Source organism: Homo sapiens, chromosome 7, assembly GCF_000001405.40.
Source record: "Homo sapiens chromosome 7, GRCh38.p14 Primary Assembly".
Taxonomy (NCBI): Eukaryota; Metazoa; Chordata; class Mammalia; order Primates; family Hominidae; genus Homo; species Homo sapiens.
Genome location: NC_000007.14, coordinates 5,327,047 through 5,353,069, shown reverse-complemented (window position 1 = coordinate 5,353,069; position 26,023 = coordinate 5,327,047). Strand labels below are relative to the sequence as shown.

The 26,023-nt window shown below is 52.2% G+C and overlaps 1 protein-coding gene across 16 annotated transcripts in view, besides 2 other annotated features; it reads left to right on the top strand.

Moving 5' to 3' along the window:
* The window catches only part of TNRC18 (trinucleotide repeat containing 18), a 117,024-nt gene that overhangs the window by 70,765 nt on the left and 20,236 nt on the right, over positions 1-26,023 (top strand). For 12 of the 16 annotated variants that reach the window (XM_017012737.3, XM_047420983.1, XM_017012728.3 and 9 more), the window contains 4 exons: positions 976-1,251; positions 7,260-7,508; positions 20,021-20,448; positions 23,101-23,133. In XM_017012737.3, coding sequence (XP_016868226.1) covers positions 976-1,251; positions 7,260-7,508; positions 20,021-20,448; positions 23,101-23,133 — 986 coding nt within the window. The remainder of the gene's footprint in view (positions 1-975; positions 1,252-7,259; positions 7,509-20,020; positions 20,449-23,100; positions 23,134-26,023) is intronic. The other 4 variants (NM_001080495.3, XM_047420980.1, XM_047420981.1 and 1 more) reach the window with 1 other exon arrangement.
* Positions 1,784-2,624: an enhancer, noted in NCBI's record as "H3K4me1 hESC enhancer chr7:5390077-5390917 (GRCh37/hg19 assembly coordinates)". NCBI's record gives its function as "activates a minimal SCP1, AML or CMV promoter by ChIP-STARR-seq in naive H9 embryonic stem cells {active_cell/tissue: H9 hESC(naive)}" and the evidence as "EXISTENCE:reporter gene assay evidence [ECO:0000049][PMID:30033119]".
* Positions 4,309-5,150: an enhancer, noted in NCBI's record as "H3K4me1 hESC enhancer chr7:5387551-5388392 (GRCh37/hg19 assembly coordinates)". NCBI's record gives its function as "activates a minimal SCP1, AML or CMV promoter by ChIP-STARR-seq in primed H9 embryonic stem cells {active_cell/tissue: H9 hESC(primed)}" and the evidence as "EXISTENCE:reporter gene assay evidence [ECO:0000049][PMID:30033119]".

The following is a 26,023-nucleotide window of genomic DNA, read 5'->3' as shown; positions in this document are numbered from 1 at the left end:
TCCTGAGGTTGGGGTCTTGCTGGAGTGAAAGCTTAGGTGTTGGTGGGAGCAGTCAGAGGAATGCCCGCCACGGATGCGTGCATGTGGTTTCTCTTGGACTCGGAGGTGGCAGGTGCTGCCAGAGCTGTAGCTGTGTTGGTTCACGTTCCCCCCGTCTGGAGTGGATTTCAGCAGATCAGGGGATTATTCTCTGTCTCTGGAACCCCTGTCTTCCCATCTTGCCCAGTAAGAAAAGCAGATCAAAATGGCGTGAGCATGGCGGGGGCCGGAGCGTTGCCTGCCTGGCAGGCTCCCCTCCCAAAGCTGGCTGGTTGTCTCCCCGGAAGATTTGAAGACTCTTGTCCTCCGTTGTATAGTTAGGCTGGAGACTCTGGGGAAGCCAGCAGTGGTGGGCCGGCTCACTGGCTCGTAGAAAGAAGGGCAAGGGATCTGCTAGCGGTAACAGCGTTTGCCCATTCCCATGGTGTAAACACCCTTACTGTGGCCTGTTTCGTGCTGCCACTGGGAGGCTGCTGGGAGGGGCACTGGGAAGAGAATGCATGATTGGCTGTCATGAGCCCTTTCCCTCCTGAGTCAGGTCCTCTGCGGTTGTCACCCTTGGGCCATCGTAATCCCATGGGACAGGCAGTGACCACCGTGACCTTCCTGAGCATAGGGCTTCTCTCATCCTCCGGTGCCCGGAAAGCCTGGAGTGACTGGTGGGTGAGGCTGGCAGCATCCAGTCTAGGAAGGGCCTGGGTCCAGCACTCGGAAGATGCCATGCAATGACCGAGGCACCCAGGGCAAGGGAGAAGCCTGGACTGGGAGGGGAGCTGGTGACATGGGGCAAGGCCTTTGTACGGCCGCCTACTAGGTATTCGGACCTGTTTGTTCTGGCACCTTCCAGTACGTTCTCAGAACCATTAAAACCAATAAAATGACACCAGCTCCTGCTGCCCTGTGACTTATCTCTATTAAAAACTACTTTGACTGCAGATACGGACTCAGAGGAAGACGAAGAATTCCTGAAGGACGAGTGGCCCGCCCAAGGCCCCTCCAGCTCCAAACTGACGCCTTCCCTCCTGTGTAGCATGGTGGCAAAGAACAGCAAGGCAGCTGGTGGCCCCAAGCTGACCAAGAGGGGCCTGGCGGCCCCCCGGACTCTGAAACCCAAGCCGGCCACCAGCAGGAAGCAGCCGTTTTGTCTGCTGCTTCGAGAGGCCGAGGCGCGTTCCTCCTTCAGCGACTCTTCGGAGGAATCGTTTGACCAAGGTTACTAGCTCCAAACACAAAATACCTTCCGTGTTTCCTAGCGAGAGAGTGCGTGCGAGTGAGCGAGAGGGAAGCGAGTGGGCGCACGGGAGAGATGGTGGGTGAGGAGGCCCGTGCGGATGGCCGCAAGAAGGCTGCCATCTGGGTTCTTGGCAGCGTAGCCTGCTGTTATCAGCCGAATGATTTTGATTTTTGCTTTGATTTGTACTGTATCATTGTGATAATATCCCCGGCTGGCTCTTTTTGAGCTGTTATATGGACTGCTTTTGAGTCTGCGTTTCTCTCCACTTGCCCTCCTCCCTGCCCTCCTCCCCCTCCCCCGAGTTCCCCCCACCCCCGCACTCACGTTTTCTGCCCACCCAGAGACCCCAGGCTTGGTTCGGGCTCTCTTTGGGCACGGGTTCGGTGGAGGCTTCCCGAGGAACATTTTGTAAATGGAATTCTGTCGTGTGGGCGTGTGACTTGATGTTTGTACCGCGATTTTGGTAATACCAAGCTTTATTAAACATATCGAGTTCATTTTTAACTAAACCTGTGTGCCTTGTCTCTCTTGCTGTGTCCTTACTAGACATTAGGTTGACGCTTCCCTCTCATTTTGTTTCTCCCCCACCTCCTCCCCTCCCTCCTCCCCACCCAGAAGGAGTAGGGACGGGACCGTGCCGCCTGCCGCTTGCCTGTGTTATTCAAATATCCCTGGTAGCGATTGGCATTCATTTCATTTTTCAGGTTTAAAATCAAGCGCCTTCACCTCCAGCATCATCATGTTTTTTTAGTTGCTTGTTTTGTCTTTTATTTTCTTAAAGCTCTATTCTTACTTGCCAGTGGTTAAAAACTATTATTTACAAACACTTGTCTTCTCACGTGTATTTCTGTTTTGAAGGGTGCGTAGGCAGTGCAGGGCCCAGAGCCTTTGACACCCCTGGTCTCTGTCATTCAATACGAAAGCGGCTCCGTTGCCGCATCAAGGGACGGAGCATCGTGCTCTGTTTGGAGAGAGGCTGGCCTGGTCCCAGCCCGGGGTCCTCAGCCACCTCGGTTCTCAAGAGAGAGCTGCCAGGCCCCTGAGAACCCGCTGGCCTTGCCCTTTCCAGTGTCAGAATTGTGCTTCTGGGGTTAGATGTGTGTGAGCCTTTTGGGCCCTTCAACCAGAAATGCCCCAAGAAAGGGAAGCAAGTGAATCTCTGACATTTTTTCCTAGCCCTGGTTTTAGGATTTGCTTCAGGGCGAACTCCCACTAGGGCCAGCTGAGGGGATCCCCCAGGCCCTGGGTAGCCACACCTGGATGTCAGCTACTCCCTGAGGAAGGTCTGGAGGTGTCATCGTGTCCCTGGGTCTGACCTGGCTCGGGCACCCCGGGACCTGAATGCTGCCCCCGCCCCCCGCCCGCCCTGTTTTTCCAGCCCTGCTCTTGAATTCCTGGTCTACCGCCTCCCCTCCCAGACCTCCCCTCCAAATTGGCAGAGATCCTTTTGGGTGACCAGGAGGTGGTATGGCGAGGAGTACGATGCCCCGGGGCCCATGTTCCCCTGGGCTGCTACTACCCCTCTGAGCGAACACCACCCCGGACCGAGAAGAGAGGCCCCCGACCCACTGGCCAGCCTCGTTTTCCGAGGCCTCCCCCTGCCCGGGCTGTCCGTGGATGAGCTGGGTTAGTTTACGATCCCCTTCTCCCTCCCCGGCCTCCTCCCTTTCCCCCATCTCCCCCATGGGCTGGACCCCACGCCCCCTTAAAGCCGCGGTTTCCGCTTCCAAGTTTTTGAGCCCTCCTGCCCCAGCTGAGACCCCACAGAGAAGCAGGCAGCGCCCTAGGCCTCTTAGGAAGGGGCTCCGGGCTGGCGCCGCAGTGCCAAGTGGACGGGACCCAGATAGGGGAGTGCGGGGGGTGAGGGGAGGCGGGGGAGGCCCAGGCTCCTCAGTGCCCCCCTCCACCCCCGCCAGTCCACCACTGAGCAGGTCTTGAAAGGGATATTTGGGTAATAGGGCCTCGCTGACCTGGTACTAAACTCCGTAACTGGCTTGGCTTTTCTAGTATGTCTGCTTCTTCCAGCAGCCCGACCATCCCTCCACCCTTGACCCCTCCCCATGACGCTTTGAATGTCTGTTTTGGTCTCTTGCATTTGCTCTCACGCTGCACTCTGGACGCAAAGCGAAGGCTGGGAGTAGGGCAGACGGCGCAGCGGGTCACTGAGCTTGGGTGCGAGCCTGGCTCGTTGCTCCGTAGGTAGGCAAAACGCTTTTCTTTCTGTCCTCCGTGCACCTCCCTCCTCGGGGTTCGCCCCCACCGGGTCTGGCAGCAGCAGATCGCTCTGACATTTACCACCAACCTGTCACCGCCAACCCCATGTCCTGAGCCAAGATCTTTTTTTGTTGTTGCTTTTTTCTTTAAATAATAATAATAATAAAAAGTTTTTCTGCATTTCCTTGGGTTACTTTGATGGGACTTTTTTCCCCCCTCCCTGTCCCCAGCCCTCGGCAAGCTGCATTGCCTCAGGTGTGGACAACTCCAGAAAGGTTTTCTTGGTCCTCAGAGCCCCTCTGCTCCCCAGCCTGCTGCGGACGCTAGCGGGGTGTGCACCAGACCCCGCAGGAGCAGCGGGTGTGGCCTTGTCAAGCACGCAGGGAGGCGGGAGGGTCTCCCATGCCGAGGTGCGGGCATTGGGCTGCTCTCGGCTTTCTGGGCTCTGGCGTGGACGTTGCGGGCATCCAGAAACCCAGAGCTCGCCCTCCCCCCGCAGCCCCAGCTGCTTGAGAATTCCTCTGGATGGGAAAGATTTCTGGAGTCTGCGCACCTGAGTGGCTAGAAGGGAAGATCCCTGGCCTCACGTCCAACCCCCTGCCCCCACCCCACAACCAGCCCCCTGCCCACCACCCTGCTCAAATTGGCCCACCCCAGGGAGACCTGATGTGGGGGACCCAGGCGCTGTTGAAAAGTCTGCCTACACTTAGCCTGCTTTGCCGCTGTGGCCCACTGGGGCGGAGACAGAGCCATGTGACGCCTGCAATGTGAATGATCGCAAGTGTGCACTGCCTGCCTGCCTGCCCCCGCCTGCCTGGCTGGCCTCTCCAGCCTGCTTCATCCATTGCTCCGGGGGCCAGTCTCCCCTCTCACCCTCTTAACAAACCTCCTCCCTCTCCCTCTGGCTCCTGCCTCCCTCCCTCCCTCCCTCCCTCTACTCCTCTGCGGACTCCTCAGACTCATCACCTTCACCGCCTTCCTCTCTGAGGTGGCCCAGCAGAAATCCGGGCTGTCTCCAATACATGAGTAGACAGAACCTCTGCCCTCATTGGCACCTCTGGGGCCACCACTTTTGGCCACAAGTTGCTTAAGCAAGCAGGCGGCTTGGGGCGTTGGCAGGAGACTGTGGAGTTGGCTGTCCGTCTTCCCCGTCTGTCTATCCGAGCCTAGACTGCTCCCCGCCCTGGAGAGAAAGGGTCTGGTGTCCACCTCTTCTTGCTGGAAGGGGCCACCTTCCAGCCCTGCGGCCCCTAGAGTCACTTTCCCGCTCCCAGCACTCTGGTCCGTGAGGCAGATGGGCACCCCTGTCACCTGCTCATGGGTGGCACTTTGGATGTTGCATCTCAGGGCAGAGTTTGCTCTCTCAGGCCTTCCACCTGCCCGTCCTTGGAAGCAAGTGTCTGCCTCAAGACAGTCTCTCTTTTTGGTGGGGGGTTTTGGTTTGTGTGCAGGGAGCCTCCTGTCTGCCAGCTGCCTTTGTCCTGAGAGCCTGGGCTGGGCTCCGGGGACTGCAGACTCTCAGGCAGGCAGGGAAGGTCACTGGATGAAGCTCATCTTAAGTCACCGACCAGAGAGGCAGGCTGGGGCTTCTTTATGTTTTTAAAGTTTTTATTACTTATTATTATTTTTTGAGACGGAGTCTTGCTCTGTCACCTAGGCTGGAGTGCAGTGGCGATCGCGGCTCACTGTAACCTCCGCCTCCGGGGTTCAAGTGATTCTTCTGCCTCAGCCTCCTGAGTAGCCGGGATTACAGGTGTCCGCCACTGCACCCGGTTAATTTTTGTATTTTTAGTAGAGATGGGGTTTCACCAGGTTGGCCAGGCTGGTCTCGAACTCCTGACATCATGATCCACATGCCTTGGCCTCCCAAAGTGCTGGGATTACAGGCGTGAGCCACTGCGCTGGCCTATTTATTTTTGAGACAGGGTCTCGCTCTGTCACCCAGGCTGGACTGCAGTGGTGCCACCATAACTCACTGCAGCCTTGGATTCCTGAGCTCAGGCGATCCTCCCGCTTCTGCCTCCGGAGTTGCCAGGACTGCAGGTGTAAGCCACCACGCCTGGCTAATTTTAAAATTTTTGCGGGGGGGCTGGGTGTGGCGGCTCATGCCTGTAATCCCAGCACTTTGGGAGGCTGAGGCGGGCAGATCATGAGGTCAGGAGATGGAGACCATCCTGGCTAACACGGTGAAACCCCGTCTCTACTAAAAATACAAAAAAAAAAAAAAAATTAGCCTGGTGTGGTGGTGGGCGCCTGTAGTCCCACTACTCGAGAGGCTGAGGCAGGAGAATGGCGTGAACCCAGGAGGTGGAGCTTGCAGTGCGCCGAAATCGTGCCACTGCACTCCAGCCTGGGTGACAGAGCGAGACTCTATCTCAAAAAAAAAAAAAAAATTTTTTTTTTTGTAGAGACAAGGTTTGCTCTGTCGCCCAGGCTGGTCTTGAACTCCTAGCCTCAAGAGATCTTCCCGCCTCAGCCTCTCAGAGGGCTGGGATTACAGGAGTGAGCCACCTTGCCCGGCCCTGGGGCTTCTTTAGACAGTCTGCCAGCTCTGGGTTCGAGCCTGCTCTTCTACTGCCCGAGTGCTTAACCCCATTGGGCCTCAGTCTACCCCTGCCCTTCCTGGGCATCCCATGAGTGAAGAGTCACAGCTGACTTTAGCTCCCTGGGCATGGGGACAGCACAGTTCCTGCCTGCAAGTCACGGGGGTGGCCCTGTTTCTGTTCGATTGTCTTTAAGCTTGCAAATGGCTTTCTCCTCCATGCAAATGATTCTCTCTGGACCCCGGCCTTGGCTGAGCCAGTGGGCTGGGAGGGTCACCCCTTGCTGCAGGTGAGAAAATAGAGGCTCAGAGAGGGCCGAGGACTTGCCCAGCCTCCCCAGAATGGGGGAGTTGCTAGGAGTCAACTTAATTTTTTCTAATTAATTTTTCTAAAAAATTAGTCACGGGGACTCTGCGTTGCCCAGGCTGGTCTGGAACTCCTGGGCTCAAGTGATCCTCCTGCCTCGGCCTCCCAAAGTGTTGGGATTACAGGCGTGAGCCACTGTGCCCGGCTGGGGTCAACTTTATTTTATTTTATTTTTTTGAGACTGAGTCTCACTCTTGTCACCCAGGCTGGAGTGCAGTGATGCGATCTCAGCTCACTGCAACCTCCGCCTCCCGGGTTCAAGCGATGCCAGGAGTCGACTCTAGACTCCAGATCCCTTCTCGGGGCTGAAACCATGGGGGTCCCCTGGCCCCCAGGAAGAGTCCGAACTCCACTTTCTCCTGCCGCCAGCCCTCAGGACTCAGCTGGCGAAGCTGCCACAGGCACCTGTGCCCAGAACCCCTAGCCTGAGTCCCCAGGGCCCTCTTCCGTGCTCACCTCCCTCCGCTTCCTCTTTCCTTCTCCTCCTGCCTCTGTGTTGTGTGTTGGGGCGTGTGCGCGTGTGACTGTGGAGAACGCTGTCTCCAGTCCTTGTCCGTGTGTCTGGCCCCTGCCACAGCACAGGTGCATGTTGGTGCCCCTCACAGAAGCCCACCCTGACACACAAGGCCGCTGCCCACCTCCGGGCTTTCTGGGATGCCCGCGTTGGGCTCAGCTGGCCGGGGGCATTGGGCCATCGGATGGGGGGAACCCGTGGGCTGGGTCTGCATCCACCCCCAGCGGCCCCCTGCTCAGGACTGAGGGACTAGGCTGGAGCCCAGAGGCCACTCTGGGCCAGGGGGCGGTGGGGGGTGGCCCTCGCCAAGGCCAAGGCTCTGACTCGGTCCCTGTTTTCTGCACGCCAGATGAGAGCTCGGAGGAGGAGGACGAGGAGGAGGAGCTCGAGGAGGAGGACGAGGCCAGCGGTGGTGGCTACAGGCTGGGTGCCCGGGAGCGGGCCCTGTCACCGGGCCTGGAGGAGAGTGGGCTGGGCCTGCTGGCACGCTTCGCCGCCAGCGCCCTCCCCAGCCCCACGGTGGGTCCATCCCTGTCTGTGGTACAGCTGGAGGCCAAGCAGAAGGCCCGGAAGAAAGAGGAGCGGCAGAGCCTGCTGGGTAAGTGGCAGCAGGTGGGCTGCGGTGGGGGTGGGTGGGAGGGGCGGACGCCATTGCCCCATCCCACAGGTGAGGAAACTGAGGCTCAGAGATGCAGGTGCAGAGCTGGGAATGGGCAGAACCCCAGCCTCGTGGGCCAGCCCCGTGCTGATCAGGGATGCTCGCGACAGGGGCCCTGGCCTGCCATCTCCAAGGAGGGGATTCTTCGCCTTGCAAAGGGCGACCTCCTTCAGTCTCACACTGCCAGCAAACACAGCCCTGTTTTGGGCACTTGAGGGGCTGCGGGAGCTCCATGGAGGTCCCTGACCCAGCCTGGGGTTTGTGGGGGCCACTCCAGGTTGGTGACACCCAGTCTGGCCCGTGAGAGAGACGTGGGGTTACCCGAGACACAGGTGCAGGGGAAGGAACAGCCACGTCACGGTAGAAAGAAGAGAGAGCGCATCTCATTCAGACTTTGTGGGATGGTGGGGGTGCGGTCTGTGCCATGGGAGAACGGGTGGGACAGGCCTCATGTGGCCTGGGCTTGAGCCTGGAGGAGTCAGGTGGGGTGGGCAGGCACCAAGCTCTCTTTGACTTGCCCACAATCCAGATAGGTAAACCAAGGCAGCAGGCACTCACACTTGGGCAGGCAGCTGGCGCTTACCCCGGTCCATGTCTTTCCTGTCTCTCCATCTCTGACTGTTTCCCTGCATCAGGGCCCTGCCTTCTTGGGACCCTCTCGTGGGCCCTCCCTGTTCTCACCGGGCTGAGTGCCCTCACACGGACGCAGCTCACCTGCAGCTGGGGTCAGTGCCGGAGATGGAGATGGTCATGCATGTGTTCAGGCTCTGAGTTCCCCTGGCCCCAGCAGGGGAGGGTCCTTCTGACCCCCCCGGCATCCTTTTCTGAGCCACAGTAGGGGTAGGTATGAGGCTCTCCTGGCAGGGGCTAGGACAGGAAAACAGGTATTGCTGCCCCTGAAGGCCCCCCAGCTGCCCCTGGCTTCATGCCCTCTGCAGGTTCGTGGAGCAAAGCCCCACCCCTGACCTCCAGTGTCTTGGAACCCCATTTGTGGCACCCACGCCAGGCTCCAGACCCTGCCTTCCCCCTCCTCGCTCTCATGCCCTGCCATTGTTTGCTGGGCTCCAGGCCTGGCAGTCCTGGAAAGAGGCACCAGGGCCCCCTACAAGGCTACCTATTCTTAGGTATTGTTCATACAGAAGCAGCTGGAGGGTGTCTTCAGAGTGCACACTTGGCCAGGCCACTCTTCTGCCCAGAACCTCCAAATGGCTTCCCGCTGCCCTCTGATCAGTGCTACCTGTCTGACCCACCACCATCAGACTCTGATTGCTTGGACAACATTATCCTGTCCACAGCCCCTAAATGCACCAGCCAGGCTAGTACTCTCAGACATTTACACTTGCTATTCATACACCCCAAACATCCATTTCACCCAGACTGCCCAAGGTATTGGCATATGGTCCAAATTATTCCTTTATTCTGCGTTGACTGTCTGAAGGGTCTGTAGTGATGTCTCCTTTTTCATTGCTGATACAGATTGTTTCTTCTTACTCTGTTTCTTGGCCAGTCTGGCTAGACGTGATTAGTTTCATTGGTTTCTACTCTTTGTTATTTTCTTCCTTCTCATTCCTTTGGGTACACAAGCATGTCTTGGAGATACTGCAGGATTGCTTCCAAACCATAAAGCGAATATCACAGTAAAGCAAGTCACGTGAATGTTTTGGTTTCCCAGTGCATATAAAATTACGTTTAAACTATACTGTTGCCTATTAAGTGTGCAGTAGCATTATGTCTGAGAAAACAGTGTACATACCTTAATTAAAAAATAGATTATTGGCCATGCACGGTGGCTCACACCTACAATCCCGGCACTTTGGGAGGCCAAGGCAGGAGGATTGGTTGAGCTCAGTAGTTCAAGACCGGCCTGGGCAACAGAGCGAGACCCCATCTCTACAAAAAATAAACAGAAAAATTAGCCAGGCACGGTAGCATGCGCCTCTGGTCCCAGCTACTTGGGAGGCTGATGTAATAGGATCACTGGAGCTCGGGAGGTCGAGGCTGCAGTGAGCCGAGAATGCGCCACTGCACTGAAGCCCAGGCAAGAGAATGAGACCCTGTCTCAAAAATAAAAGACCAAACCAAAAGCATATGTTTACACTATCCTGTAGTCTCTTAAGTGTGCAATAGTATTATGTCTTTTTCTTTTTTGAGATACGGTCTCGCTTTGTCACCCAGGCTGAAGTGTAGTGGCGTGATCTCTGCTCACTGCAATCTCCACCTCCTGGATTCAAGTGATTCTCCTGCCTCAGCCTCCCGAGTAGCTGGGATTACAAGCACACACCACCACGCCTGGCTAATTTTTGTATTTTTAATAGAGACAGGGTTTCCCCATCTTGGCCAGGCTGGTCTCGAACTCCTGACCTCAGGTGATCTGTCCGCCTCGGCCTCCCAAAGTGCTGGGATTCCAGGTGTGAGCCACCGCGCCTGGACGTAATAGCATTATGTCTAAGAAAACATTGTACATATCTTAAAAATAGTGTATTGCCAAAAACGCTAACGATCATCTGAACCTTTAGTGAGTTGTAAACTTTTTGCTGATGGTGGGTCTTGCCTCGATGTTGATGGCTGCTGACTGATTAGGGTGGTGGTTGCTGACAGTTGGGGTGGCTGTGGCAATTTCTTAGAATAAGACAACAGTGAAGTTTGCCACATCGATTGACTCTTTCAAGAAAGATTTCTCTGTAACATGCAATACTGTGATAGCGTTTTACCTATAGAACTTCTTTCAACATTGGAAGCAGTCCTCTCAAACCCTGCTGCTGCTTTATCGGCTAAGCTTGTGCAATATTCTAAATCCTTTGTCATTTCAACAGTGTTCACAGCATCTTCACCAGGAGTAGATGCCATCTCAAGAAACCACTTTCTTTGCTCCTCCATAAAAAGCAGCTCCTCATCTTTTCAAATGTCTCATGACATTGCAACAATTCAGTCCCATCTCCAGGCTCCACTCTAACTTGAGTTCTATTGCTGTTTCCACCACGTCTGCAGTAACTTCCTCCAGTGAAGTCTTGAGCCTTTCATAGTTGTCCGCGAGGGTTGGAATCAACTTCTTTTTTTCTTTTTTTTTTTTTTTGAGACTGAGTCTCGCTGTGTCGCCCAGGCTGGAATGCAGCGGTGCGATCTCGGCTCACTGCAACCTCCGCCTCCCCAGTTCAAGCGGTTCTTGTGCCTTAGCCTCCCGAGTAGCTGGAATTACAAGTGCCCGCCACCACACCTGGCAGATTTTTGTATTTTTAGTAGAGACAGGGTTTCGCCATGTCGGCCAGACTGGTCTGGAACTCCTGGCCTCAAATGATCCACTTGCCTCGGCCTCCCAAAGTGCTGGGGTTACAGGCGTGAGCCACTGCACCCGGCCTAGAATAGTGAATTCTTTCCAGAAGGTTTTCCATTTACTTTGCCCAGATCCATCAGAGGAATCATCATCCGTGGCAGCTGTAGCCTTACAAATTATATTCCTTAAATAACGAGACTTGAAATTCAAAATTACTCCTTCATCTATGGGCTGCAGAATGGGCGCCGTGCTAGCAGGCATGGAACCAACATTCATCTCCTTGTACGTCTCCCTCAGAGCTCTTGGGTGACAAGGTACATCGTCAATGAGCAGTAGTATTTTGAAAGGAATTTTTTTTTGTGAACAATAGGTCTCAACAGCAGGCTTAAAATATTCAGTAAATCATGCTGTGAACTGAGATGCTGTTACCAAGGCTTTGTTATTCCCTTTTTTTTTTTTTTTTTTTTTGAGACGGAGTCTCGCTCTTTTGCCAGGCTGGAGTGTGGTGGTGCGATCTTGGCTCACTGCAACCTCCGCCTCCCAGGTTCAAGCGATTTTTCTGCCTCAGCCTCCCGAGTAGCTGGGATTACAGGCGTGCACCACCACATGTGGCTGATTTTTGTATTTTTGGTAGAAACGGGGTTTCCCCATGTTGGCCCAGCTGGTCTTGAACTCCTGACCTCAAATGATCCTCCTGCCTTGGCCTCCCAAAGTGCTGGGATTACAGGTGTGAGCCACCACACCTGGTCTGCTGTTCCATTGATAGAGTAGTGGCAGAGGTGATTCAGCATCTTTTTTTTTTTTTTTTTTTTGAGATGGAGTCTTGCTTTGTCGCCCAGGCTGGAGTGCAGTGGCGTGATCTCTGCTCACTGCAAGCTCTGCCTCCTGGGTTCATGCCATTCTCCTGCCTCAGCCTCCCGAGTAGGTGAGACTACAGGTGCCCGCCACCATGCCTGGCTAATTTTTTTGTGCTTTTTTTTTTTAGTAGAGACAGGGTTTCACTGTGGTAGCCAGGATGGTCTCCATCTCCTGACATCGTGATCCGCCTGCCTCAGCCTCCCAAAGTGCTGGGATTACAGGTGTGAGCCACTGCACCCGGCCTGTTGTTCCACTGGTAGACCCCTGGCAGAGGAGATTTAGCATCATTCTTAAGGACCCTGGGGTTTTCAGAATGGTAATTGAGCATTGGCTTCAACTTAAAAGTCCCCAGCTGCATTAGCCCCCAGCAAAAGTCGGGCTGTCCTTTGAAGCTTTTAAACCAGGCACTGACTTCTCCTCTCTAGCTATGATAGCCTTAGATGGCATCTTCTTAGAAGGCTGTTTTGTCCACATTGCAAATCCATTGGTTGGTGTAGCCACTTTAATCAGTGACCCTAGCTGGATCTTCTGGAGAACTCGCTGCAGCTTCTCCATCAACACCGGCTGCTTATCCTTGCATTTTTATGTTATGGAGACGGCTTCTTTCCTTTTCTTTTTTTTTTTTTCTCTGAGATGGAGTCTCACTCTGTTGCCCAGGCTGGAATGTAGTGGTGCAATCTCAGCTCACTGCAACCTCTGCCTCCCGGGTTCAAGTGATTCTCCTGCCTCAGCCTCCCAAGTAGCTGGGATTACAGGCACCCGCCACTACGCCTGGCTAATTTTTGTGTTTTTTTTTTTAGTAGAGATGGGGTTTCACCATGTTGGCCAGGCTGGTCTCGAACTCCTGACTTCAAATGATCCTCTCGCCTCGGCCTCCCAAAGTGCTGGGATGACAGGCGTGAGCCACCGTGCCCAACTGATAGCTTCTTTCCTTACACCTCATGAGACAATCTCTGCTGGCTTCAAACTTTTCTTTTGCAGCTTCCTCACTTCTCTCAACCTTCACAGAATTGAAGAGAGTTGGGGCCTTGCTGTGGATGAGGATTTGGCTTGGCTTCAAGGAATATTGAGGGTGGTTTGATCTTCTCTCCAGATCACTCAAACTTTCTCTATGTCAGCAATGAACCTGTTTCACTTTCTTATTTGTGTGTTCACCAGAGCACTTTAGATTTCCTTCAAGAACTTTTTCTTTGCATTCACAGCCTGGCAGTTTGGCACAAGAGGCCTTGCTTCTAGGCTATCTTGGCTTTTGACTGGCTTAAGCCTTCCTCACTAAGTTTAATCATTTCTAGCTTTCGATTTAAAGTGAGAGACATGTGACTCTTCAATTCACTTGAACATTTAGAGGCCATTGTAGGATTATTAATTGACCTAATTTCGGTATTGTTGTGCTTTAGGGAATAGGGAGGCCCAAGGAGAGGGAGAGAGATGAGGAAGGCCGGTTGGCGGAGCAGTCAACACACACTTTTTTTTTTTTTCTTCCTCGCTATATAAAGAACATACAGCCGGGTGTGGTGGCTCATGCCTGTCATCCCAGCACTTTGGGAGGCCGAGGTGGGCGGATCACTTGAGGTCAGGAGTTCGAGACCAGCCTGACCAACACGATGAAACCCCATCTCTACTAAAAATACAAAAATTATCCAGATGTGGTGGCGGGCGCCTGTAATCCCAACTACTCTGGAGGCTGAGACAGGAGAATCGCTTGAACCTGGGAGGCAGAGTTTGCAGTGAGCAGAGATCGGGCCATTGCACTGCCCTCCATCCTGGGTGACAAGAGCGACACTCTGTCGAAAAACACACACACACACACACACACACACACACACACACATTGGCTGGGCACGATAGCTCGCGCCTGTAATCCCAGCACTTTGGGAGGCCGAGGCAGATAGAACATCAGAGGTCAGGAGTTTGAGACCAGCCTGGCCAACATGGTGAAAGCCCATCTGTACTAAAAAGATAAAAACTAGCCAGGTGTGGTTGTGGGCACCTGTAATCCCAGCTACTTGGGAGGTTGTGGCATAAGAATCGCTTGAGCCTGGGAGGCGGAGATTGCAGTGAGCTGAGACTGCACCACCGTACTTCAGCCTGGGCAATAGAGTGAGACTCCATCTCAAAAAACAAAAAAACACAAAAAAAAAAAGAAAAAAAAAGAAACAAAAAAAACACATTTGTTGGTGAAGTTTCCCATCTTATATGGGCACTGTTCACGGAGCCCCAAAACAATTGCAATTTTTTGTAGAGAAGAGGTCTCGCTCTGTTGCCCAGGCTGGTCTCGAACTCCTGATCTCAAGTGATCTGCGCTCATTGGCCTCCCAAAGTGCTGGGACTACAGGTGTGAGCCATTGTGCCTGGCCTTGTCTAGTAATTTTGGATTGTGTGTCTTGGACGTTGTGGGGCTGAGGTTGTGGAGAGCCAGAATGCCTTTTTTTTTTTTTTTTTTTTTCCTTTTGAGATGGAGTTTCGCTCTCATTGCCCAGGCTGGAGTGCAACGGCATGATCTCGGCTCACCACAACCTCCACCTCCCGGGTTCAAGTGATTCTCCTGCCTCAGCCTCCCAAGTAGCTGGGATTGCAGGCATGCGCCTCCATGCCTGGCTAATTTTGTATTTTCAGTAGAGACGGGGTTTCTCCATGTTGGTCAAGCTGGTCTCAAACTCCCGACCTCACGTGATCTGCCTGCCTTGGCCTCCCAAAATGCTGGGATTACAGGCGTGAGCTACTGTGCCGAGCTCTTTTTTTTTTTTTTTTTTTTAATGTGCAGCGTTGCCCAGGCTGGAGTGCAGTGACACAATCTAAGCTCACTGCAACCTCTACCTGTTGCCCAGGCTGGTCCTGACCTCAGATGATCTGCCCACTTTGGCCTCCCAAAGTGCTGGGATTACAGGCCTGAGCCACGACGCCTGGCCCCTTTTATCATTTTAGAATGTTCTTCTTTGTTGCTAGTAACAATTTTTGTCTTAAAAAGTCTATTTTGTTTGTTATTAGTATAGCCACGCCAGCTCTCTTGGTTACAATTGGCGTGGTATACCTTTTTCGTGCTTTGCCTTTCAGTTTATTAGTGTCTTAGTCTTTAGTTTTTTGTCTAATTTTTGGTTCTCCTTGCCTTTTAAACAAATTTATTTGAATATGTTTAAGAATTCCATTTTAATTTTCCTGTTAGCTTTCTCAGTATCATTTTGTCATTTTTAAAAATAGAAAATAGAGATAACAATATACATTCCTTTTTACATCCACTTACCATGTTTTTTTCACATAAAATACAGAAATCTTGCAACTTTGTAAGTCCATATCATACCTCATATTTTATATTATATGTAATACTTTTTCACATGGTATCAACCCCTAAAGACAATGTTACAAACTTAGTTTTGTTTTGTTTTGTTTTTTGAGATGGAGTCTCACTCTGTCGCCCAGGCTGGAGTGCAGTGGCGTGATCTTGGCTCACTGCAATCTCCGTCTCCAGGGTTCAAGCGATTCTCCTGCCTCAGTCTCCCAAGTAGCTAGGATTACAGGCACCTCCCACCTCGCCTGGCTAATTTTTGTATTTTTAGTAGAGATGGGGTTTCACCATCTTGGCCAGGCTGGTCTTGAACTCCTGAGCTCATGATCCACCCGCCTCAGCCTCCTAAAGTGCTGGGATTACAGGCATGAGCCCCCGGACCCGACCACAAACTTAGTTTTAATCATTTAAATGGCTTATAAGGAAATTGAGAGGAAAAGTGAACAAAGTCTTTTGTATTTATTCAGATATTTATTATTTCTGTTGCTTTTCATTCTTGTCTGAGGATTCCAGTTTTCCTGCAGTTTCAGCCCAAAGAACTTCATTTAGCAGTTTTGCCTTGTAGAGCTGCTGGTGAGGAATTTTCTTGGTGTTCCTTTTTTTTTTTTGAAACAGTCTCACTCTGTCACCCAGGCTGGAGTGCAATGGCGCGATCTTGACTTACTGCAACCTCCGCCTTCTGGGTTCAAGTGATTCTGCTGCCTCAGCCTCCCGAGTAGTTGGGATTACAGGTGTGAGCCATCATGCCCGGCCTCTTAGTGTTCTCTTACCTGAAAATGTTTCTATTTCACCTTCATTCTTCAGTGTTGTTTTTACTGGATATAGAATTTTGGGTTGACAGTTTTTTTTTTTTCTTTGAGTCCTTAGAAGATATCCTGCTCTCTTCTGGCCTCTGGTTTCTGATGAGAAGTTCGCCATTAATCAGACGATTGTTTTGGAAGTGATAGGTTACATTTTTCTTGTTGTTCCTGGGGGTTCGTGTTTATCTTTGTCAGCCGTTTGACTGTGGCATGCCTCGTGGCGGATTTGTTGATGTTTATTTTGCTTGGTGTTTATCTGACACCCAACATCTGCAAGTTTCTGTTTGTCATCAAATTTGGGAAGATTTCAGCTATTGAGGAAAAGCAAATATTCAAGCATTTTTTCTTGTTCTTTCTTTTCCTGTTTAACATACATTTTACCATTTGTTATCTGACAGGTCTCTGAGGCTGGTTCCCCCACACCCAAACTCATAAACTCACTCGCTTACTTTTCTCTTAATCATATCCATTCAGCTCTTAGATCCCCTCCATGGATTTTTTATTTCTGAAATTGTACTTCTCAGTTTTATAATTTCTTTGTGTTGTTTGAGACAGGGTCTTGCTCTGTCACCCAGGCTGGAATGCAGTAGCACAATCATGGCTCACTGAAGCCTCAACCTCCTGGGCTCAGGTGATCCTCCCACCTCTGCCTCCTGAGTAGCTGGGACCACAGGTGCATGCCACCATGACTGGCTAATTATTGTATTTTTTGTAGAGACAGAGTCTTGCTATGTTGCCCAGGCTGGTCTTGAACTCTTGACCTCAGGGATCCTCCTGCCTCAGCCTCCCAAATTCCGGGATTATAGGTGTGAGCCACTGTGCCTAGCCAGTTCTATACTTACAATTGGTTCATTTGGTTCTTTTCTGTTGTTTCTTTTTGTCCTTCCTATTTCTCTGGTGAAATTTTCATGCATTGAAAACAAGTTTTATTTCACCTCTTTGAGGATTTCAGAATCGTTGGCTGTTCTTTCCAACATGTGGTTCATCTCAGGGTCACGTTTAGTTGGTTTTCTTTTTTCTCTCTGGAATGTGATGCATTTTCTTGGTTCTTCATTTGTCTAGTAATTTTTTTTTTTTTTTTTTAAAACAGAGTCTCGCTCTGTTGCCCAGGCTGGAGTGCAGTGGTGTGATCTCTGCTCATGGCAACCTCCGCCTCCTGGGCTCAAGTAATTCTTGTGCCTCAGCATCCCAAGTAGCTGGAATTACAGATGCATGCCACCACGCCCAGATAATTTTTGTATTTTTTGTAGAGATGGGGTTTTGCCATGTTGGCCAGGCTGGTCTCAAACTCCTCACCTCAAGTGATCTGCCCGCCTTGGCCTCCCAAAGTGCTGGGATTATAGGTGTGAGCCACTGTGAATGGCCTTGTCTAGTAATTGCGGACTGTATCTTGGACATTGTGGGGCTGAGGTTGTGGAGAGTCAGAATGCCTTTTTTTTTTTTTTTTTTTTTTTCCAGTGAATATGATCTCCTTTGTTTTAGCAGATATTTCCTTGGTGGGACTTGAAGTCCAGTTTCTTAGGTGGTATCTCTGGCCTCTGTTCAGATCACTTTTTGCTGAGCCCTGGGCTGCTTGGAGTCTATTCTGTGTATAGGTAGTTTCAGGGCCATTTAGAGACACTGGGGAGAGAGAGAGCATGGGGACCTCTCTCTGGCTCCCTTTCTAATTTTTTTTTTTTTTTTTCTAGACGGAGTCTCACTCTGTCACCCAGACTGGAGTGCAGTGGCGCGATCTCAGCTCACTGCAACCTCTGCCTCCTGGTTCAGGCAATTTCCTGCCTCAGCCTCTTGAGTAGCTGGGACTACAGTGCCCACCACCATGCCTGGCTAATTTTTGTATTTTTATCAGAGATGGTGTTTCACCATGTTGGCCAGGCTGGTCTTGAACTCCTGACCTTGTGATCTGCCCAAATTGGCCTCCCAAAGTGTTGAGATTACAGGTGTGAGCCACTGTGCCTGGCCAAATTTTTTTTTTTTTTTTTTTTTTTGAGACAGATTCTCACTCTGTGGCCCAGGCTGTAGTGCAGTGGTGCAATGTCTGCTCACTGCAGCCTCCACCTCCGGGTCCAAGTGATTCTCCTGCCTAAGCCTCCCGAGTAGCTGGGACTATAGGCACCCGCCACCATGCCCGGCTAATTTTTGTATTTTTAGCAGAGACAGGTTTCTCACCATGTTAGCCAGGATGGTCTTGAACTCCTGACCTCAGGTGATCCGCCCGCCTTGACCTCCCAAAGGGCTGGGATTACAGTTGTGAGCCACTGTGCCTGGCCACTGGCTCGCTTTCTATTCTCTTCTGTGTTGCCAGTTTCTAGACTTCTCTTTCCTGGTGCTGAGGTCAGCGGGACTCTATTTCTTTTCTATGTGGGCCCCACCTTCCCTGCTGTGTGTGCCAAGAAGACCGTGTCTAGTGCCAGGGTAGAGGGTGCAGGGAGATCTGCCTCCTGTGACTTCACTCTCTGCCTTCCACGTGAGCCTCCTCTCTGTCTACTGTCCCTCCCTGCACCATACACAATGGGCCTGTGAAGGATTACGTACGCCAGGTGTTCCAGTGGATCTCTGGGGGGACTGTTACGGGGTGGTACCTCATTCTGTCATACCCAGAGCAGAGCGCTCATGCCTGTGGCCTGCACCCACATCAGCCTCAAAAGCCCCTTGCTGCCTCCTTGCACAGTGGAAAGTTGGAAAGTCTTGTTAGCAAAAGATTAATGATCACACCTGTAATCCCAGCACTTTGGGAGGCCGAGGCAGGCAGATCACAAGGTCAGGAGTTCGAGACCAGCCTGCCTAACACGGTGAAACCCCGTCTCTACTAAAAAAAAAAAAAAAAATGCCAGGCGTGGTGGCGGGCACCTGTAGTCCCAGCTACTCAGGAGGCTGAGGCAGGAGAATGGCATGAACCCGGGAAGCGGAGCTTGCAGTGAGCCGAGATCACGCCACTGCACTCCAGCCTGGGCGACAAAGCGAGACTCCGTCTCAAGAAAAAAAAAAAAAAGTTAATTAATAGGATTATTACACTTTGCTGGTGACTTTTTCCCACTGGGCAGCCCCCGCCAGCCCCTGTTGCTGTGGCTTCATCTACCGGGGCAGTGCAGAGCAAGCCTCTCACGGCTGCCCCCCGGGGTCAGTAGGCCTGGGATTGGGCCTTGGCTTTTCGGCTCCTGTGCTGGAGGATTTAAGGCAGACCACTGGCTCTCCCTGAGGTTGTTAACGCAAGGGACTGTCATAGAGATTGCATCCCTGAGTGAAGGCACCTTGGAGCCCCTGTCCTGGGGAGCAGTGCCATCTACGCCTCACTCACACTCTTTTCCTGGACACCAGCTCTGACCTGGGGCTTGAGCTGGAGATCCCAGAGAACTCGGATCTGCTTCCCAGGGTCAGGGCAGGCTGGGATAAGCTGGGACCTGGGCATGGACAGAAATGCGAAGGTGTGGCATTGCCTGTGACAACAGAGGTGCGGCCATAGAGGACTTCCCGGGTTGTGGGGTGGGTCTCCTTCTGAAGGACTTAGCGCCGTTCCAAGGAGAGGTCGGGGGAGCTGGTGCTTTGTGCATAGGGGATGGCAGAGAGCAAAGCTTGCAGCTGGGAATGAGTGGGGATGGTGGGTGCTGGGCGAGTGCTGGGTGGCTGTGCTCAGAGGCTGTGCATTCAAGCAGCCCGGGAGCTGGGACCCAGGATCCAGGACAGAGGGAAGCAGGGCCTTGGCTGTGCAATGGGTGGGGCCTGGGGTGGGAGGAGGGCTGCTGGGGTGGCCATGTCGTGTAGAGAGGGCAGTGGGAGTGGACGATTCCTGGGACCACCCAGTTCCGACAGGCAGCACCAAGAACGGGGGAGAGAAGGCGAGCGGGGCTTGGGGATTCTCTGCGGGTTTCCCCGCCTGCCTGCCTTAGAGGGCTGCTGCCCTGCAGGTGTGGGGCCCGTCCTGCCCAGCTGCCCTGGCTTCTGGGATTTCCACAAGTCACATGGGGTTTTGGAGGAGCTCAAGGGGCCCAGGATCTTCCCATGGGGCAAGGGGCTGGGAGCAGCGTCCGGGCAGCCGAGGCGGCGTAGGGACAGGCGTAGGGACAGGCGTGGTCCCGATGAGTCTTTCTCCTCTGGGCCTCAGTTTCCTCTCCTGGAAACGGGCAGAAGCGCTGCCATTGGCGGGGAGGTCCCGCCGGGGAGGAATGGTGTCCATGTGGCTGGGTGGGAGGGAAGGGGTCCCCACGAGGCTGTGACCAGCACGCCCTCCTCCCGCGTTCAGGCACAGAGTTCGAGTACACCGACTCAGAGAGCGAGGTCAAGGTGCGCAAGCGGTCGCCTGCGGGGCTGCTGCGGCCCAAGAAGGGGCTGGGGGAGCCGGGACCCTCCCTGGCCGCACCCACGCCTGGCGCCCGCGGTCCCGACCCCAGCAGCCCAGACAAGGCCAAGCTGGCGGTGGAGAAGGGGCGCAAGGCCCGGAAGCTGCGGGGCCCCAAGGAGCCTGGCTTCGAGGCGGGGCCCGAGGCCAGCGACGACGACCTGTGGACGCGGCGCCGCAGCGAGCGCATCTTCCTGCACGACGCCTCGGCTGCTGCACCTGCGCCCGTCAGCACCGCGCCCGCCACCAAGACCAGCCGCTGCGCCAAGGGCGGCCCCCTGAGCCCGCGCAAGGACGCCGGGCGTGCAAAGGACAGGAAGGACCCCAGGAAGGTAGGGGCCGCGCTGGGAGGGGGTGCCGCAGAAGGGTCCCTGGGGTTCCGTGAGGGAGGGGCCCTCTCCCCTCCCAGCCTAGGGAAGCGGCTTCACTGTTAATAACCATGTACTCGGCTCCAGGCCCGCCCGGAGCCCCTGCTAGGACTTAGCCACAGCAGGAGCTGGGCACCTGTTCCTTTGTTTCTTAAGAGTCAACTCTTGCTCTGTCACCAGGCTGGAGCGCAGTGGCCTGATCATGGCTCACTGCAGCCTTTACCTCCTGGCCTCTAGCAGTCCTCCTGCCTCAGCCTCCCAAATAGCTGGATCTTCAGACACATGTCACTGCACCTGGCTAATTTATTGTTTGTAGAGAGGGGATCTCGCTATGTTGCCCAGGCTGATCTTGAACTCCTGACCTTTAGTGATTCTTCTGCCCCAACCTCCCAAAATGCTGAGATTACAGGCATGAGCCACCATGCTTGACCACCCGTATCTTACAGAGGTCCTTACTCTCTTTTCTCCTGTCTCAGAAGACGACTTTAAAAAGTGAATAAGATACCTGGGACCCCAAAGGAAGACAGTGATAGTGACCATAGTTATCAAAATATTGAAAAGACCCTTCTGTGATATGGTACCTATACATTCCTTTAGGGATGTATTTAATTAATAAACACATCTGCCAATGGGTCTAGTAAATACCGTACTTAAAATTTTATTATTTTATATTTTAGAGACAGAGTCTCACTCTGTCACCCAGGCTGGAGTGCAGTGCTGTGATCATGGCTCACTGCAACCTTGAACTCTTGGGCTCAAGCAGCCCTCCCACCTCAGCCTCCTGAGTAGCTGGGACTACAGGTGCATACCACCGTGCCCAGCTAATTTTTAAATTTTAAGTATAGACAAGGTCTTGCTGCATTGCCCAGGCTGGTCTCAAACTCTGTTCTCCTGCCTCAGCCTCTCAAAGTGTTGAGATTCCAGGCGTGAGCCACTGCACCCGGCTAGTGCTGTACTTCTGAAGCAGTGTAAAGGATGTTTTAAGGTCCCTGGAGTAACTATTGTGTGCTGCAAGTCTCTGTGGTTTCCGTTGCTGCAAGACTCTGTGGTTTCACCGGCGCTGCTGGTACTTTTGTGGTTTGTGGCCTCCACTCTCACCTGAAGGAAAACCCCATTTTTTTTTTAGAGGTTAAAATGTGAAAATGCAGGTGGGATTTTCTTTCCTACCCATTTACAGATTTCCTAAATTCTCTCTATGAACACCCCAGATTAAGAAAACTTGCTTTTAGACAACTTTATAATCGGGCCTGTTACCCTTTTTGCACTGGCCACTAGGAAGCTGAGGGCCAGTTGCTTCCTCCTCCTATTTGGATGCGTTCAGACTTAACAGCTAGGTTTTGACGGTATTCTGTCAAAATACCTCTCCACCCTGAGCCCTTGATATAGGAGGAACCCTCAAATAAGGGTGACATTCTAGAGAAGATCACAAAAAAGATGAGAGTCACATTGATTTCCTGACAAAGGGGTAGTAGTGAGGAAGGGGCCAGTGTAAGCACCATCCATAGGCACCTTGGATTTGTGCTCTTGTCTCCTGGTGGCAGAGGCCATCTCAGGTTTTTGAAGGCCTTGCAGGACAGGTGTCACAATTAGTCACAATAATAATAATGATTCAGCCGGGCACGGTGGCACACACCTGTAATCCCAGCACTTTGGGAGGCCAAGGTGGGTGGATCACTTGAGGTCAGGAGTTTGAGACCAGCCTGGCCAACATGACGAAATCCTGTCTCTACTAAAAAATACAAAAATTAGCCAGGCATGGTGGCGGGTGCCTGTAATCCCAGCTACTCAGGAGGCTGAGGCAGGAGAATCTCTTGAGCCCGGAAGGCGGAGGTTGCAGTGAGCTGAGATTGTGCCACTGCACTCCAGCCTGGGCGACAGAGTGAGACTCTGTCTCCAAAAATAAAATAATAATGCTACCAGGTAGCACATAGTAGGCCCAGACATGTTCTAACCCCTTCACTTCACACACTTACCATGCAGGACTGTGTGAAGTGGGTTTCTCCTATGAACCGCTCTCTATAGGTGGCTCACATATGGACAGGCACCAGACTGGCTGCGGTGGCTCACGCCTGCAATCCCAGCACTTTGAGGTGGGAGGATCCCTTGAGGCCAGGAGTTTTGAGACTGGCCTGGGCAACACAGCAAGACCCTGCCTCTACCAAAAAAAAAAAACAACAAAAAAACAATTAGCTGGGAGTGGTGGTGATCAGTGCCTATAGTCCCACCTACTCTGGAAGCTGGGGCAGGGGGATTGCTTGAGCCCAGGAGGTGAAGGCTGCAGTGAGCTATGATCATACTGCCTCACTCCAGCCTAGGCAACAGAACCCACAACTCTGTCTCAAAATAAAGAAAAAGGCTGTTTGCAGTGGCTCATTCCTGTAATCCTAGCACTTTGGGAGGCCGAGGTGGGCAGATCACCTGAGGTCAGGAGTTCAAGACCAGCCTGGTCAACATGGTGAAACTCCGTTTCTACTAAAAATAAAAAAATTAGCTGGGTGTGTTGGGGGGCACCTACCACACATTAACAGTGTCTGTTCTTGGGATGCTGAGATGTGGGGTGATTTTCCTTGGGTGTCTGAGCCTCCATTTGTCAACAATGAATCTGTTCTGTTCCAGGTTCCTGCTACAGTATCAAAAGGCAGACACTGGGTGAGCCTCTGGTATTATAGCTGGATATAATAGCTGGGTATTCAGCTGTTCAGATGCCAGGAATTGGAAACCCTGGGCCTCCAACAGAAGGAACTCTTGGGAAAGGCCCAAAGAGGCAATGTAGTCCAGTGGTTAAGGAGCCAGAACTGAAGCTAAAGCTACGTCCCCAGTGTTCAAAGCCCAACTCTATTGATCATTCCCTGCTGTAACCTTGGACAGATAGCTATCCTTTTTTTTTTTTTTTTTTTTTTTTTGAGACGGAGTCTCACTGTGTCGCCCAGGCTGAAGTGCAGTGGCACAAACTCGGCTCACTGCAACCTCCGCCTCCCAGGTTCAAGCAGTTCTCCTGCCTCAGCCTCCCAAGTAGCTGAGATTACAGGTGCCCACCACCATGCCCAGCTAATTTTTGTATTTTAGTAGAAACATGGTTTCACCATGTTGGTCAGGCTGATCTTGAACTCCTGACCTCAAATGATCTGCCCACCTCAGCCTCCCAAAGTGCTGGGATTACAGTTGTGGGCCACCGCTCCTGGCTGTATTCTGCTTTTCAGACTTAGTTCAGTCTGTGTTATATCATGTGTACTGCCACATGGGATGGGCTTTTACTTTTATTTTCTATCTTTTTTTTTTTTTTAAAGACAGAATCTGTCCTACTGCCCAGACTGGAGTACAGTGGTGAGATCTTGGCTCGCTGAAACCTCTGCCTCCCAGATTAAAGCGATTCTCTTGCCTCAGCCTCCCGAGTAGCTGGGATCACAGGCGCTCACCACCATGCTCGGCTCACTTTTGTATTTTTAGTAGAGACAAGGTTTCGCCATGTTGGCCAGTCTCGTCTCGAACTCCTGACCTCAGGTGATCGGCCCACCTCAGCCTCCCAATGTGTTGCGATTATAGGCATGAGCCACCACGCCTGGCCTTCTATCAATATTTTTATTGTATTTATTTATAAGAGACAGAGTCTTGCTCTGTTTCCCAGTCTGGAGTGCAGTGGTGATTGTAGCTGACTGCAGCCTCAAATTTCCAAGTTCGAGCAGTTTTCCTGCCTCAGTCTCCTCTGAGTAGGTGGGACCACAGTGGCACACCAACACACCTTGCTAATTTTTCTTTTAATAAGAGACGGTGGTCTCAGCCGGGCGCAATGGCTCATACCTGTAATCCCAGCACTTTGGGAGGCCGAGGCGGGTGGATCACGAGGTCAGGAGTTCGAGACCAGCCTAGCCAATATGGTGAAACCCCGCCTCTACTAAAAAAATACAAAAAAGTAGCCGGGTGTGGTGGCGGTCACCTGTAGTCCTAGCTACTCGGGAGGCCGAGGCAGAAGAATCGCTCGAACCCAGGAGGCGGAGGTTGCAGTGAGCCGAGATTGTGCCACTGCACTCCAGCCTGGGTGGCAGAGCGAGACTCTGTCTCAAAAAAAAAAAAAAGGCGGCGGCGGGGAAGGTGGTCTCACTGTGTTGCCCAGGCTGGTTTCAAACTCTTGGGCTCAAGTGATCCTCCTGCCTCGACCTCCCAAAGTGCTGGGATTACAGGTGTATACCACCACGTCTGACTAATTAAAAAAAAATTATTTTCGTGCAGATGGGGTGGGGTCTCCTTATGTTGCCCAGGATGGTCTTGAACTCCTGGGCTCAAGCAGTCCTCCTGCCTTGGCCTCCCGAAGCGTTGGGATTACAGGCGTGAGCCACCACACCTGGACATCAGTATTTTTTTTGTTTTTTGCGACAGAGTCTCACTCTTGTGGCCCAGGCTGGAGTACAGTGGTGCAACCTCAGCTCACTGCAACCTCTGCCTCCCGGGTTCAAGTGATTCTCTTGTCTCAGCCTCCAGAGTAGCTGGGATTACAGGCTCGTGCCCTCACGCCTAATTTTTGTATTTTTAGTAGAGACGGGGTTTCACCATGTTGGCTGGGCTGGTCTCGAACTCCTGGCCTCAAGTGATCCGCCTGCCTTGGCTTCCCGAAGTGCTGGGATTACAGGCGTGAGCCACCGCGCCTGGCTGTCAGTATTTTTAAATGGTTGAATGCCATCCCACTGCCTGCCTGTCTCCTGCCACTGACCCTGCTGGCGGTTGGTGGTTTGGGTGGTGATGGTGTTTTGCTGTCATAGTTACCAAAGCAGGCAGCGTCTCTGTTTTGCATACAGAACTTCTATCACGTCGGAAGTTATTTTCTTATTTACTTTATGTTTTTTTTACAAAAAAGTAGGGGAAGGCACCCAGCCGTGGGTTTTCAGATCAAAGGGAAAGAAACAGTTACTGGCTTTATCTGATTATAACAGTAATTTGGAAGATAAAGAAAAGAAAAATCCATTCAGGCCTTTTTTTTTCTGCTGTCATTTCCTTTTGTTTCCCTGTGGGTACAGCTGCAGGGACATGTACCAGGAGCTGCAGCTATCTGCTTAATGACGGATCCCAGAGATAAGGGGACAGCGCCACTAACATTCTTTCAGCGCCTAAGATGCCTCTGATTCCAGAAGGATGACTTGCATTAAAGAGTTCAGCAGCAACAAGAAAATAAAACACACAGACACACACACACACACACACACACACACACACACACACACGCACAAACACACACATATATATTTTTCCCCCCCAAAATGGGGATTAAACTGTATATTCTTTTTCCCTAGAACATACCATTTTTTGTTTCTTTTAATGCTCTCTGCTTTGACTTTCATTTTGGATATGGACGCTGTGACTTCTGTTGTTGTCTTGGTAGCATTTGACCATTGTTATCTTTATTTATTACTTTTCTACCTCTCCTGGCCTTGGCCATTTGTTTTGGTGGTTGTTGTTGTTTGTTTGTTTTTTGACACAGAGTCTCACTCTGTCGCCCAGGCTGGAGTGCAGTGGCACGATGTCGGCTCACTGTAACGTCCGTCTCCTG